This window comes from Homo sapiens, chromosome 21 (genome assembly GCF_000001405.40).
Source record: "Homo sapiens chromosome 21, GRCh38.p14 Primary Assembly".
Taxonomy (NCBI): Eukaryota; Metazoa; Chordata; class Mammalia; order Primates; family Hominidae; genus Homo; species Homo sapiens.
The window spans coordinates 31,956,626-31,970,169 of record NC_000021.9 but is presented as its reverse complement, the minus strand read 5'-3'; the positions used below and the strand labels follow the sequence as shown (position 1 = coordinate 31,970,169).

At 44.4% G+C, this 13,544-nt stretch overlaps 1 protein-coding gene across 2 annotated transcripts in view; it reads right to left on the bottom strand.

Annotated features, from left to right (window-relative positions):
* The window catches only part of HUNK (hormonally up-regulated Neu-associated kinase), a 131,045-nt gene that overhangs the window by 33,895 nt on the left and 83,606 nt on the right, over window positions 1-13,544 (bottom strand). For both annotated transcript variants that reach the window (NM_014586.2, XM_011529537.3), the window contains exons 5-6: window positions 11,200-11,327; window positions 1,785-1,920 (exon numbers count right to left, since the gene is read on the bottom strand). In NM_014586.2, the coding sequence (NP_055401.1) occupies window positions 1,785-1,920; window positions 11,200-11,327 (264 nt within the window). The remainder of the gene's footprint in view (window positions 1-1,784; window positions 1,921-11,199; window positions 11,328-13,544) is intronic.

The window sequence follows — 13,544 nt, the reverse complement described above, 5'->3', positions numbered from 1 at the left end:
GGGTGTTTCTAGACCTTCCTAGGCATTGAACCTATGACCACACAGGACACCCCTTTCTCTGCCCTTTCAGTCTCCTATCTGCCCCTCTGGGTCAGTGGTTCTCTTGTCTTCATCCAAGCCTGGTCAAATGTGCAAGCCACCCTAGGTCTGAAGGAAGAAGGAAGGTGGGTCCCAGTCTTGGAAGGTACTGAACCCACGTGGTTTCCTTGTTTGCTCAAAAACAGCCAAAATAAGGGCCCTCATTCCCTCGCTCAGGTTAGTTAGAAATAGGACAAATGAGTAGAAAAAAATATACAAGGAAATGTTTTTGGCCGGGCACAGTGGCTCAAGCCTGTAATCTCAGCACCTTGAGAGGCAGGAGGATCACTTGAGCCCAGGAGTTTGAGACCAGCCTGGGCAACATGGCAAAACCCTGTCTCTGAAGAAAAATAGAAAATGTGCCTGACATGGTGGCTCATGCCTGTGGTCACAGCTACTCAGGAGGCTGAGGTGGGAGACTCCCTTGAGCTCAGGAGGTGGAGGCTGTAGCGAGCCATGACCATGCCACTACACTCTAGCCTGGGTGACAGAGTAAGGTTTTGTCTCAAAAAAAAAAAAAAGAAAAAAGAGAAATGTTTTTTAATCTGTAGTTAGCGCACCAGCATGGAGAAGCGTGGGCTGCACAGGGAGCCCATCAGTGCTCCTATGCTGTGGGTTCCTGTCTGCAAGCTTTGCTTAAAGAACCCTCCTCATGGAAACTGATAAAGTGAAGCCTTCACGGAAAGTTCATAGGGACACCCGGCCTAAAACGAATGACTCCTATGCCTTTCCTTCCTGCCTCCCACATTTTAAGGCAGGGGTCTTAGGGCTGAAATAAACATCAAGAACAAGGCAGAAGAAGGCATCTAAGGGTGGTTTGGAAAGGGAGGGGCGATCCCATGTTTCTGTTTGATGTTGGCAGGTGGGCTCGTGAGCTGATCACACACACGCAAACACACTCACAACACAAGGACTGGCCGGGCACGTTGGCTCACACATGAAATCCCAGCACTTTGGGAGGCCAAGGCAGGCGGATCACTTGAGGTCAGGAGTTCAAGACCAGCCTGGGCAAGAGGTGAAACCCCGTCTCTACTAAAAATACAAAATTAGCCTGGTGTGGTGGCACGTTCCTGTAATCCCAGCTCCTCAGGAGGCTGAGGCATAAGAATCGCTTGAAACCAGGAGGCAGAGGTTGCAGTGATCTGAGATTACGCCACTGCACTCCAGCCTGGGTGACAGAGCCAGACTATGTATTAAAAAAACAAAACAAAGACATACACACACACACACACACACACACACACACACAAATTTACACACAACACATACACACACACAGACACAACACCCATGCACATGGAGACCCAAGCAGACATAGACACTCACTCTCTCTCTCTCACACACACACACACACACACACACACACACACACACACTCGGGCCACAGCTAGTCTCAAAGGTCCCTCTGTGTGAACTAGAAAAAGGCAACCCCTGGGAAGATACAGACCCTCAAAGCCTGGATATCAGCCTCCACTCACCTCTCCTCCAGGTGCCCCTGCAGGGCACACGGCATAACAGCACATGGTGGCCCTGTCTACGCTTCCTCTTGTGGATGTGTGGGTGTGGGTGTTAGGGGGAAGGGGAGATAGCCAAGAGAGAGCGCGGCTTTTCCTTCAATCACGGACAGCTTTCTGTCCGGAACTGCTCAGGGCTAGTAGGACAGGCCCCGTCTCTCCCGAGGAGTTCCTCTGGGTGCACGAAATTACCTGTTGGGATAGGTGACATTACAGGGCACTTTGCCCGTGTAATTCTCATTAAGCCAGCGATTCGCCAGTGCCTGCTGAATATTTGGCCTCTTCACAGGATCCGGTTCCAGGAGAGAGCGCAGGAAACTGATGGCACCTGGGAGACATTTGGGAAAGAATGCACGCATGTTACAGGCTGAACGCAGACACCAGTGAAAGCCACCATCACAGGGGACTCGCCACCTTGCCTGCCCATCCCGAGTCACTGCTGGGGTGATCTCTTCTCTAGGTCTCTGGGCAGGGTTCCGATTCAATGAATCGTGGAGCTTGGTTTCAGCCCCACCTCCCTTCAGACAGGAGGGGTGTGGAAAATCCCATTTCCCCCTCTCTCTCTTTAAAAAATACACACCACATAGCCAAAGAATTTAATTTCTCTGTCCAAGGGGAGCAACTGGTACATGATACAGCAAGAACCAGTTTGGGTCTCCCCATTCCGTGTTTCCCAAGACAACCTGTGGTCTTTTCTTGTTGCTCATAGGTGAGCCAAAGAGATGCACTATTGACAGGCTTGTAGGAATGAAAGAAAATAAACAGAAAATGCCTGCTCGCAAGGTAGGTTTTTGAGCACTCAGGGAGAAGCCAGAAGTGTACAGGCATCCTAAGTTAGACCTCTCAACTGGGCACCACAGGACACTCAGAGTCTCAAGGGGCCAGAGAGGTCCTGCTTTCTGATCCTTTCCTTTAAAGCCATTCTGCACCGCCGCCCACCTCCCCGCCTCAGCCTCCCAAAGTGCTGGGATTATAGGCCTGAGCCACCACGCCTGGCCAAAAATAATGTTTTAAATGCCCTGGGTTTCCTTTCATTTCACAAATATTTACAGAGCACTTGTCCATTCAAGCACTGGAGATAAGAAGCTAATTCATCTCTAAGCAGAACATTTGCATCCTTTAAGATTATAACAACGGAAACAACTGTATGAGAGGTAAAAATGCGTTTATAATGCACACGAAGCCTTTTATTTTGTATTTATTTTATTCATTATTTTTTATATTTTGGAGACAGAGTCTCACACTGTCGCCCAGGCTGGAGTGCAGTTGTGCCATCATGGCTCACTGCAGCCTTGATCTCTCTGGCTCAGGTGACCTTCCCACCTCAGCCTTCCAAGTAGGTGAGACTACAGGCATGCACCGTCACACCTGGATACTTTTTTTATTTTTTTGGTAGAGATGGGGTTTTGCCATGTTGCCCAGGCTGGTCTCAAACCCCTGAGCTCAAGCGATCCTCCTGCCTCAGCCTCCCAAAGTGTTGGGATTAAGTGTGTAAGCCACCACACCCAACCCATGAAGGCCCTTCTAAGGCTGCAAAATTGTTCAGCAGAAGAATATACAGCATACCCACATGTGGGCAAAGAATGGCAGGGATGACTTCAAAATGCAGACGGTCTGTCTTGCTTGAGTTGTGGGACTGTGATCTTTTCTTATGCTATAGCCCTTATTTTACAAAGTATTGCGGTAATGTTTTTGCAATATGAAGAATTCTTTTACGTAGCTTTGTACTTGATTTCCAACATACCAAATAATAGATCCCAGAAAATAATAATGTGCTTGGTCCCCCGATTTTTCTATCCTTCTCTTCAAAGTTATTTTTTCAGTTTTCTAAAGTAATCTTCTTTGCAAGGAGAAGCCATAAAATGTCCTACTTTCTCAAAAGCTTTAAGTTGTCATTTGAACATTGTTCTTGAGGAAATGCTGAGCCTTTTGTCAACTCATTTTCTGCAGGGTAAAAATGAGGCCATCAAAAAAGGGGCCAGTTGTGATGCCAGAATCAACTCAAGAGAAACAATCTTTGCTAGGTCATGCAGCCAGGTCAACCTCCATGGTCAACCCACCACCAGGGTGGGTTCCCATACTGTTGAAGAGGTTACCAGGTCATCTCCCTTTCAATAGTGGGTAGTCTCTACTGGGTATCTACCCAAAGGAAAATAGGTCATTACATGAAAAAGACACTTGCACACATGTTTATAGCAGCACAATTCACAATTGCAAAAATATGGAACCAGCCCAAATTCCCATCAATTAACAAGTGGATAAAGAAAATGTGACATATATATATACATGTCATATATATAAACACCAAGGAATACTACTCAGTCATAAAAAGGAGCAAACTAATGGCATTCACAGCAACCTGGATGGAGTTGGAGACCATTATTCTAAGTGAAGTAACCCAGGAATGGAAAAACCAAACATTGTGTATTCTCACTCGTAAGTGGGAGCTAAGCTATGAAGGTGCAAAGGCATAAGAATGATACAATAGACTTTGGGGACTTGGAGGGAAGGGTAGGAGAGGGGCAGGGGATAATAGACTACACATTGGGTACAGTGTACACTGCTCAGGCGATGGATGCACCCAAATCTCAGAAATCGCCACTAAGGAACTTATCCATGTAACCAAACACCACCTGTTCCTCAAATACGTACTGAAATTTTGAAAAAAGGAAATATTGCCAGGAGCAGTGGCTCACAACTGTAATCCCAGCACTTTGGGAGGACGAGGTGAGTGGATCACCTGAGGTCAGGAGTTCAAGACCAGCCTGATCAACATGGCGAAACCCCGTCTCTACTAAAAATACAAAAATTAGCCGGGTGTGGTGGTGCATGCCTGTAATCCCAGCTACTCGGGAGGCGGAGGTGGTAGAATTGCTTGAACTCAGGAGGCAGAGTTTGCAGTGAGCTGAGATCACGCCATTGCACTCCAGCCTGGGTAAGAGAGAGAGAATCCGTCTCAAAATTAAAAAAAAAAAAAAAAAAAGAAAAACAAAGAACAGTGAGGTGGGTAGAAATGCATGTGTAGAGGCCATGAGGTACATTTACCACTGTAAGTGTTATCGCTGGATACTCAGCTAAAACTTTCCAGCAACGTACTTTAAAAAAAATTTTTTTTTAACTTTTACTTTAGGTTCGGGGGTACATGTGCAGGTTTGTTATATAGGTAAACTCATGTCATGGGAGTTTGTTGTACAGATTATTTCATCACCCAGGTACTAATCCTGGTACCCAATAGGTTTTTTTTTTTTTTGCTCCTCTCTCTCCTTCCACCCTCCACCCTCAAGTGGGCCCCAGTGTCTATTGTTCCCCTCTTTGTGTCCATGAGTTCTCATTACTTAGCTCCCACTTCTAAGTGAGAACATGCGGTATTTGGTTTTCTGTTCCCGTGTTAGTTTGCTAAGGATGATGGCCTCCAGCTCCATCCATGTTCTATAATAACCCGAAAATCAAACAGATCTCTGCTTTTCAGAATGTCTATCTCCCTTCCTTTAACAACCCTGCATTGGAAGAGTCATTTAGATCTTAACTGGGGGCATCTATTGGTCAGATAAAAAAGATGAGGGCTTAATGAATTGGAGCGGGTGGGCTGTTGAGTTAATGTTTTCTGAGACATTGCTGTTGCTTACCCTCAAAGGACTTGGGCAACAACCCAGGGTTGCCTCAAAAGACTTGGGCAACAGGCCAGGCTTTTTCAAAGTATGATGAACCAGAAGTGCTAAGGACAAACTAGATGTGCATTTTTGTTCTATTTTCATAACCGAGCGCTCTGCATCTTCAAAAACTGCTGATGAGCACAAGTAATTTTAGTTCAAATCTCCGCTGACGAATTTTCTTCCTTTGGACGTCACAGACATTGCATTACTATCCAAAAAGGACTTTGAGAAGTCCTTAGAGCTCTTTGAAGTTTGTTTTAGGGTCCTGAAAACCCCTGCCTTATGGGCAAAAGAGATTAAAATATTCCTCACCATCCTGGAAAGCCATGCCAGGCATGGCCACAGGCCACACGCCACCCTCCACCCCTCTGAGATAACACTTAGGTTCTCCACTGAAGCCTGGAAAAATAGTACCACCCTGCTCAACGTAACACACAGAACACCTTCCTCCATCGCAAACCCCACTTTCTTTCATGAACCATCAGCTTTCCAAAGTCTGGACTGGCTTGTGTGAGCACCTGAACACTGTACCAAGTGAAAGGGCTGCAGGTCTGTCATCAGACTTTTCACATTAGTGTAGCCTGATAGATGCAAATAGAGACCCCTCCCCACTTGAAGCTCCCTCCTCATCACTTCCCAAGCTAAAAAATTATTTGATAATCTGATCATTGTGCCTTCTTGGACATCGTAATTAGCACTGACTCAACCCTCATAAAAGCTAACGCTTCTCCTCCAGTTTGACTTTGGAGAATTCACAGCACAAAACCATCATAACCTGAAGTGACTGCTTGGAATGTATTATAAATGCTAGTGTTGAGGTGTAGTGATGAAAAGGTAACAGTCTGAAAAACTGCTCAGCCATAAAAGGCATTCGCTACTCTGTGACATACAAGTGCCAACAAGCAAAAAGAAAGTGTGTAGAAGAGAGACTTAGAAAGGCCCTCGAAGCTTAAGTTTGCAAACGGCATGACAGAGATGAATGAAGGGCAGTTCTTTGGAAGCATGTTCTGTGGATTCACAAGGGCAATAATGCTGTTTTCAACTCAAGTTTGGTAAAAATTCTTCCAACTTAATCTTTAAAAAGAGCCGAAGAATTAATAGATATGATCATTACATATATGAGTGACAGGGCCAGGTGCAGTACCCCAGCAGTTTGAGAGTCCGACGCAGGAGGATTGCTTGAGCCCAGGAGTTCAAGACCAGCTTGAGCAACATAGGGAGACCCTCTCTCTATAAAAAATATACCCCCCACCAAAAAAAATTAGCTGGGCATGGTGGCATGCGCCTGCAGTCCCAGCTACTTGGGAGGCTGAGGCGGGAAGACTGCTTGGTTTCGGAGGCCGAGGCTGCAGTGAGCCATGATTGTGCCACTGCACTCCAGCCAGGATGACACAGTGAAACCTTGTCTTAAACAAAAACAAAAACAAATATGAATGACAGAGTCATCCAATTAATAAAGATGTGCATTAGTGAGACACAATAAAACTGGCATATTTTCTATTTGGATTGACATTACTCAAAACATAAGGTCATAGAGACAATAGATAATACCTCCAACTTTTTGTAGGGGGGGTGCGTCTTATACTAAATAAAATCAGAGAAGAGTGAAATAACACAGCATGGTAGGAAAATCTAGGTTTTCAGTCAAGCAGACTTAATCTCTCTGAGACTCAATTTCCTCACTGGTAAACAGGGACTTACCTTGCAGGATTGTATAAAAACAACACCACATGAAAAACACCTACAAAGGATTATTCAATAAGTGGCAGCTACTCATGTTACTGGTAAACTAGTATTTTTGGATATAAGCAGGGCCAGGCTGGTTGGAAGGGAGAGGAGATAAACTTAGCGGGGTGCAAAGGATTGAAAAAATGGGAGGCTGTCAGAAGGGCAGCAGCTGATCCTCAAACCTGAAGACATTCACTCTATGAACCAGATAAGATGCCCTGGGCTGCCTCAGCAGCTGGTGCACTGCTCTGGGCCCTACTGGGTCAGGACAATTCCCAATCCTGAGTAATCAAAATAATCTATGGGCCACCTTTCCAGGTCACACAGACACATTAACACCAGAGTCAGCAACCTAGATTCCCTGAGTGTCTATCATGTGCAAACACCTCACTTGACACCTGGCTCAAAGGATTTCAATCCTAGTTGAAAAAAGATATTTCTATATCCCAATAGTTATTTTAAAAAGGAGGAGATGGGGAGAGCATCAGATTCCCTAATTAGAAAATCAGATATAGAAATGCAATTCATGCTTGACAAGTGAAGACAACAAAGTCCTGTAGGAATGTGAAGATCTTTAACAAGCACACACAGAGCTTAAGGCCAAGGCAAAGCTGTCTGCTCAATGCAGGAGCTATGCGAGGTTGGACAGCAATTCCAGTGATGCTGAAATTGCTGGGAACATTTTTAATATGTCTCCTTTGGGACTAACTTTGGACCATTTTTTAACATCTTCAGAACTGCAACTCCTGCTTCTTTAAGGTTAAATTTAATTTTCACAAAAAACACTTAGAGCCCAGCCTGCTAAGACTGCGTGATGTTATTGAAAGTAAAAACAAGGTATGGTTCTGAAGCAATGAGATTGATTTTCTTGTGTTACTAACCTACCTGCGCTTGTCTGCTCCTTTTCCCACAGCTGTGTGGGGCTCATGCTAATGCTAATCAACAAATATTTCTGGCTTTTCACTTTCAACGCACATGGTAAGGTTGCACTGCCCCATTCTCTTTAGTTGGGTGAAGCCGCATGCCATGTTTTAGAAAGCTTCCACTTACAACTGGAAGATTGGTGGAAGATTTAATTGCTGGCGAAAGAACTTCTCTTTCTCTTTCCCTTTCTCCCTCTGCATGAACCAGAAATGTTGGAAGTGGTGGCTGCTCCATCAGCCTTGGGCCCTTGGCTGGGCAGAACCTTTCAATGTTTGATCCAGCTCTCAACTGAGATGTAGCATGACTGAGAAATAAACCTTTGTGGTCCTGAGCCACTAAGACTTGGGGGCTGATTGTTACTGCAGCATAACCTGGTCTATTCTGACTAATACAATGAAATGGCAGCAGATCAGCAGTTCTCCAGCTCCTCAGGCTGTCATCGGGTTCAAAGAGAGCACTGTCTGCCTTTCCCCACTGTGGGGGTACATTCATCCTCCTTTTGTCCTTTGTTATGGGTCACTTGAATAAAACAGGCTCTGAACCCTCAAAGAAACTTTGGAATCACTCTGAGAGATGGCAATATTTATGACTATATAACCCCTACAGAGACTGCTTTGAAAGACTGCATCTATTTGGAAACATCACATCTTATTTGTACTGCAATGAGATATTATTAGACCCCTATCAGAACAACTAAAATAAAAAATAATAATAGCATCAAATGCTGGCAAGGATGCAGAGATCATGCACATATTGCTAGTGGGAATGCAAAATGGTCCAGCCACTCTGAAAAAGAGGCTTGGCAGTTTCTTACAAAACTAAATACGTGCTTACTACCCAACCCAGCAATTTCACTCTTAGGCATTTGTCCCAGAGAAATGAAACCATATTCTCAGAAAAACTTAAACATGAATGTTTACAGCATCTTTATTCATGATAGCCCCAAACTGGAAACAACTCAACGGTCCTTCAGTGGGTAAATGGTGAAACAAACTGCGGTATATCCACACCAGGAGATACTACTCACCAATAAAAAAAAAACAGCTCAGATTATCTCAAGGGAATTATGCTGAGTGGGAAAAAAAGTGATTTACATATAGCATTTTTGAAATGACAAAATTATAGATGATACAGGGTAGTGGCTGACAGGGCTTAGGGAGAGCAGGAGGAAGGAAGGTAGCTGTGGCTACAGAGGAGCAGCACGAGGGATCCTTGTGAGGGAACTGTCTTGCATCTTGACTGTGGTGGCTGTCACACAAATTACTCATGTGAAAAAACTCTATAGAACTAATATACAGCAACACACAAGATTGTACATAAAACTTGTGAAATCTGAACAAGGTCAATGGGTTTTATCAATGTTAATTTCCCAGTGGTGATATTATACCACAGTTATACAATATATTACTATTGGGGGAAACTGGGTGATATGGTTTGGCTGTGTCCCAACCCAAATCTCACCTTGAATTGTAATAATCCCCACATGTCAAGGGCGGGGCCAGGTGGAGATAATTGAATCATGGAGGCAGTTCATGCTGTTCTCATGGTAGTGAATAAGTCTCACGAGATCTGATGGTTTTATAAATAGGATTTCCCCTGCACAAGCGCTCTTCCCTGCCACCATCTAAGATGTCCCTTTGCTCTTCCTTCATATTCCACCATGATTATGAGGCCTCCCCAGCCATGTGGAACTGTGAGTCTATTAAACCTCTTTCCTTTATAAATTACCCAGTCTCGGGTATGTCTTTATTAGCAGCATGAGAATGGACTAGTACACCAGATGAAGGCTGTTTGGATCTCTTTGTATTATTTCTAGCAATTGTGTGTGCATCTACAATTACATCACAATGAAAAGTTTTTAAAATAATCTTATTTGTTAAAAAAAAAAAAACCTTTTTACTCTCTATCCCCTTGTCCCAATTTATTTTACTTTCTTTAGAGCACTTAACATTACCAAATACCACACATGTTTATTACCCATTTATTTATTTTTAGCTTCCCCTGCTGATATATAAGCTTTATAAGGGTAGAGACTGGTTTGTTCTCTGTCTTGCTTAATCTAGAACACACCTAGCACATAATTGGTGCACAACACATATTCACGGAATAAGCTAATGAGTATGAAATATGGAATGAATGAATGAATGGGCACACCTCAGAGTGCTCTGCCGCACTTTCAACATTTCTGAAAGCTCTAAAACTTAAATATGACAATTGGTTTGACATTTTGCACATTTTCTAACTCCAAGAGTTATGACTCTCAGTGCAGAAATATTTCTTGTATAATGACAGAGCTGTAACTCATCTTCCCAAGGACTTAATGCCTCCTTTGCTTTCAAGCCTCCAGAGAGTCTCCCCTCCCTTGAGGTGACAGTATGGGCTGAATTAGATAATTGCATACAAGAACGTGTCTCCACTTGGATTCCACTTGCCAAGATAAATTCAGGGGCAGCTTCATGCATGCTTTTAAACTCAGAAGAAAAATGCATAACAGTAGTAAAATAAAATGCTATATTTTAACTATCGCTAAGTATCATAAGTTGCAGTTAAATAACTGCTTTCTTCTTTGGTCAAAAGCCTTATCTTAGTGAAGCTGAGTTTATTCTAAGGAGCCAATTAAATGCTCATCAAAGCCAAGCCAAGGCCAGGACTTGAATTGTGAACCAAACAAAAGAACAAATTGTACTGATTTACTGGATCTGAAACCAAACCTTAATACAAACTGTTTACTGAAATGTGAACCAGCTAAAGCTTGAGAGAACTTTTCAAACACACCTGATGATTCAGTCCAATCAAGTAACTTAACCTCTATATATTTAAAAGCTTTTGAACGGGCTCAAAACCTCAACTCACAAAACAAATCACAGCCCCAACTTGAATGCAACAAACATTTCTTGACAGTAATTGCAGAAAGAAGCCATATTGGAAATGCGACCATAAACCCTCTTTTCCAAGTCAGCATCATAAGATGGTGAGTTTTAAAACAATCAAGCCTGCAATCATTTTTTAAATGGAGAATATCAGATCCTTTGGATCTACGTGTTTTGTGCAGAAGGAGGAAGGAGAAGTTAGGGGTTCAGATAGAACAGAACAGGAAAGGATACAGGTGAAAGGCATGAGTGGCCATTGAGAGACGGGAAACCCAACCACCCCTTGACACTTCTATTTAACACTAGAAAGAAACTTATAACCATGGGATAGACATAACACCATTACTGCAAAACAAATACTGTTTCACAGGTAGACCCGAACTGGTCACGACAGCAGTCCTGAACCGTGATCTAGAGCAGCTGGTGCATTACCTGTGGAGAGCTGAGTGGGGAGGGGGTTCATTTCTTTGTCTACCATCTTCTGGTACAAAGCCCTCAGGCTGAAAGGCTCCACCGTGAAAGGCAGCGTCCCGGTCAACATGGCATACATGTTCACACCTCTGAAAAGAGAGACATACACATGAAAGCGGAGTCAGGTCCCCTGGGGAGGGGAAGACTGGGGACACGGGCTTCACCGAAGCGTGGGAGCTGCTGCTTCCATGCCAACCTCAACAGGCCCTCTTCAAAGTCATCTTTGTAGAATGCTCAGTGTCATGTTGAAAGAGTTGGGTGAGGTCGGACATGGTGGCTCATGCCTGTAATCCCAGCACTTTGGGAGGTGGATCATCTGAGGTCAGGAGTTCGAGACCAGCCTGTGTAGCACCTCCATCCTCAATCTCTGCCTCATCAGCCTGGACCACTATCTCGCTGCTGTGCTACAAGCTGTGCATGAAGCCCCCGCACACCCTGGCACCCATCTCTACTAAAAATACAAAAATTAGCCAGGCGTGGTGGCGGGCGCCTGTAATCCCAGCTACTGGGGAGGCTGAGGCAGGAGAATCACTTGAACCCAGGAGGCGGAGGTTGCACTGAGCCAAGATCACGCCATTGCACTCCAGCCTGAGCGTCAAGAGTGAAATTCCGTCTCAAAAAAAAAGAAAGAAAGAAAGAAAGAAAGTCTTGGGTGAGAGCACTTGAATGTGAAGACCCGGAAGGGGACCACAGAGAAAAGCAGGAGTTTCAAGAGCATCAGGAGCCACCTCCTGAGGAGGGGAACCATGGCCCTCTGCTCTCTCCGAATGTTATGGCAGGAAGAAGTCAACAACAAGGAGGCCCAGACCAAGCAATGTAAGAAACACCTGGGAGACATCAGGGACTTCAATTAAGAGTAGTACTGCCATTATGTGGTTTTCCAAGGATGGCTTACAAGGTGGTACCTGGAAAAGGCTGACCAAACAATACAGGAAAAGCCCCCTACAGTGGAAGCTCCAGTCACAGCCAAACTGTGAGCCAGGTTACCACTCAGCCCTCAGAAACGAAGCCTCATAACAAAACCTGGCGTTTTGCTCTACTCTTAAATTTTGCCTTGGCTTGTAACTACAGAAATTTCTGGGGAGGTCCCCTTCCTTCCTGCCCTGATTTTTTTATTGTTTATTGTGAGATTCTGCCACCTGGCCCCAACCCAACATCTCAGATGTGGTTGAAATACCTTCTGAGTAAGCTTAACTGCACCTATCCAAAGCCAATCTACAGAATAGAAACATCTTCTTAGAGGATCTTTATTTTCCTGATGTGTAAATCTAATATCATTTTGATGAGATTTCCTGATGAGGATGAAATGCCTGCCTACCAAGAGGTCTCAAGTGTTCAAAAGCGCCCAAGGGAATATACTTTAAAAACAGGCACTAAGATTTCTAGTCAAAACAAATCCAATGAGACTGATTGAAATTAAGACCCTCGAGGCCCAATTCCACAGAGGCACCTCTGAATTATGGCATTTCAGATAATGACAGGTACTGGAGCCCACCGCTCCCACTAGAAATCATTCGCAAATTTCAGACATATAGTAAGACCTGGTTCCCACTCACAGTGGAGTTAGTTCCAAACTCACAGTGGAGTTAGGGGGACAGATGCATAAACATCCATTCCACAAATACTTGCTGGATGGCTCTCTGCCCCAGGCAAGACTATAGGTGCTGGGTACTGGGGACCAGAGAAAGACCTGCCCTCTTGGGTTTTGAGTGGGGAAGAAGACAGGCAAGCAACGTGCAAACAAATAGATGAGCACAGTCCTTTCAAGCGGTGATGAGTGCAAAAGGAATAAGAAAATGCTGAATTGCACCACTTTTGACCACAAGAGGAGTGCAATGAAGGGAGACTGAGAACTTAGAAACAGGTACATGAAGAGGGAACATGCCACACAGGTAGTGACTGCATGTGTGTGAGCTCATGTGTCTTTGGCTGGCTGGTTGTATGGATGGAGAGATAAAAAGTGCATAAACAAAGAAATGGAAACAAGAATGAACAAGGCACACATAGAGCTATTTGGGTGGCATTTCCCTGTGTGTGTTTAGTGGAAAACGTACCCCAGGGGAGGAATAGGGGTTCGGCAGATACAAGTGGTATGACCAAATAATTCAGGGAGTAGTTATATTGTATAAGTGGATTAAAGGGGCTCAGAATGGAAAGTAGGAAACTATGGCAGGAAATCAGCAGGTTGCTGTTAAAATCGGAATCGGAATGATGGCACGCAACAGAAAGGGAAAGGCAAAGACGCAGTGGAGACATTTGAAGGGCACGTGCCAGGTGGCAAACTCAGAATGCAGGACCAATGGTGG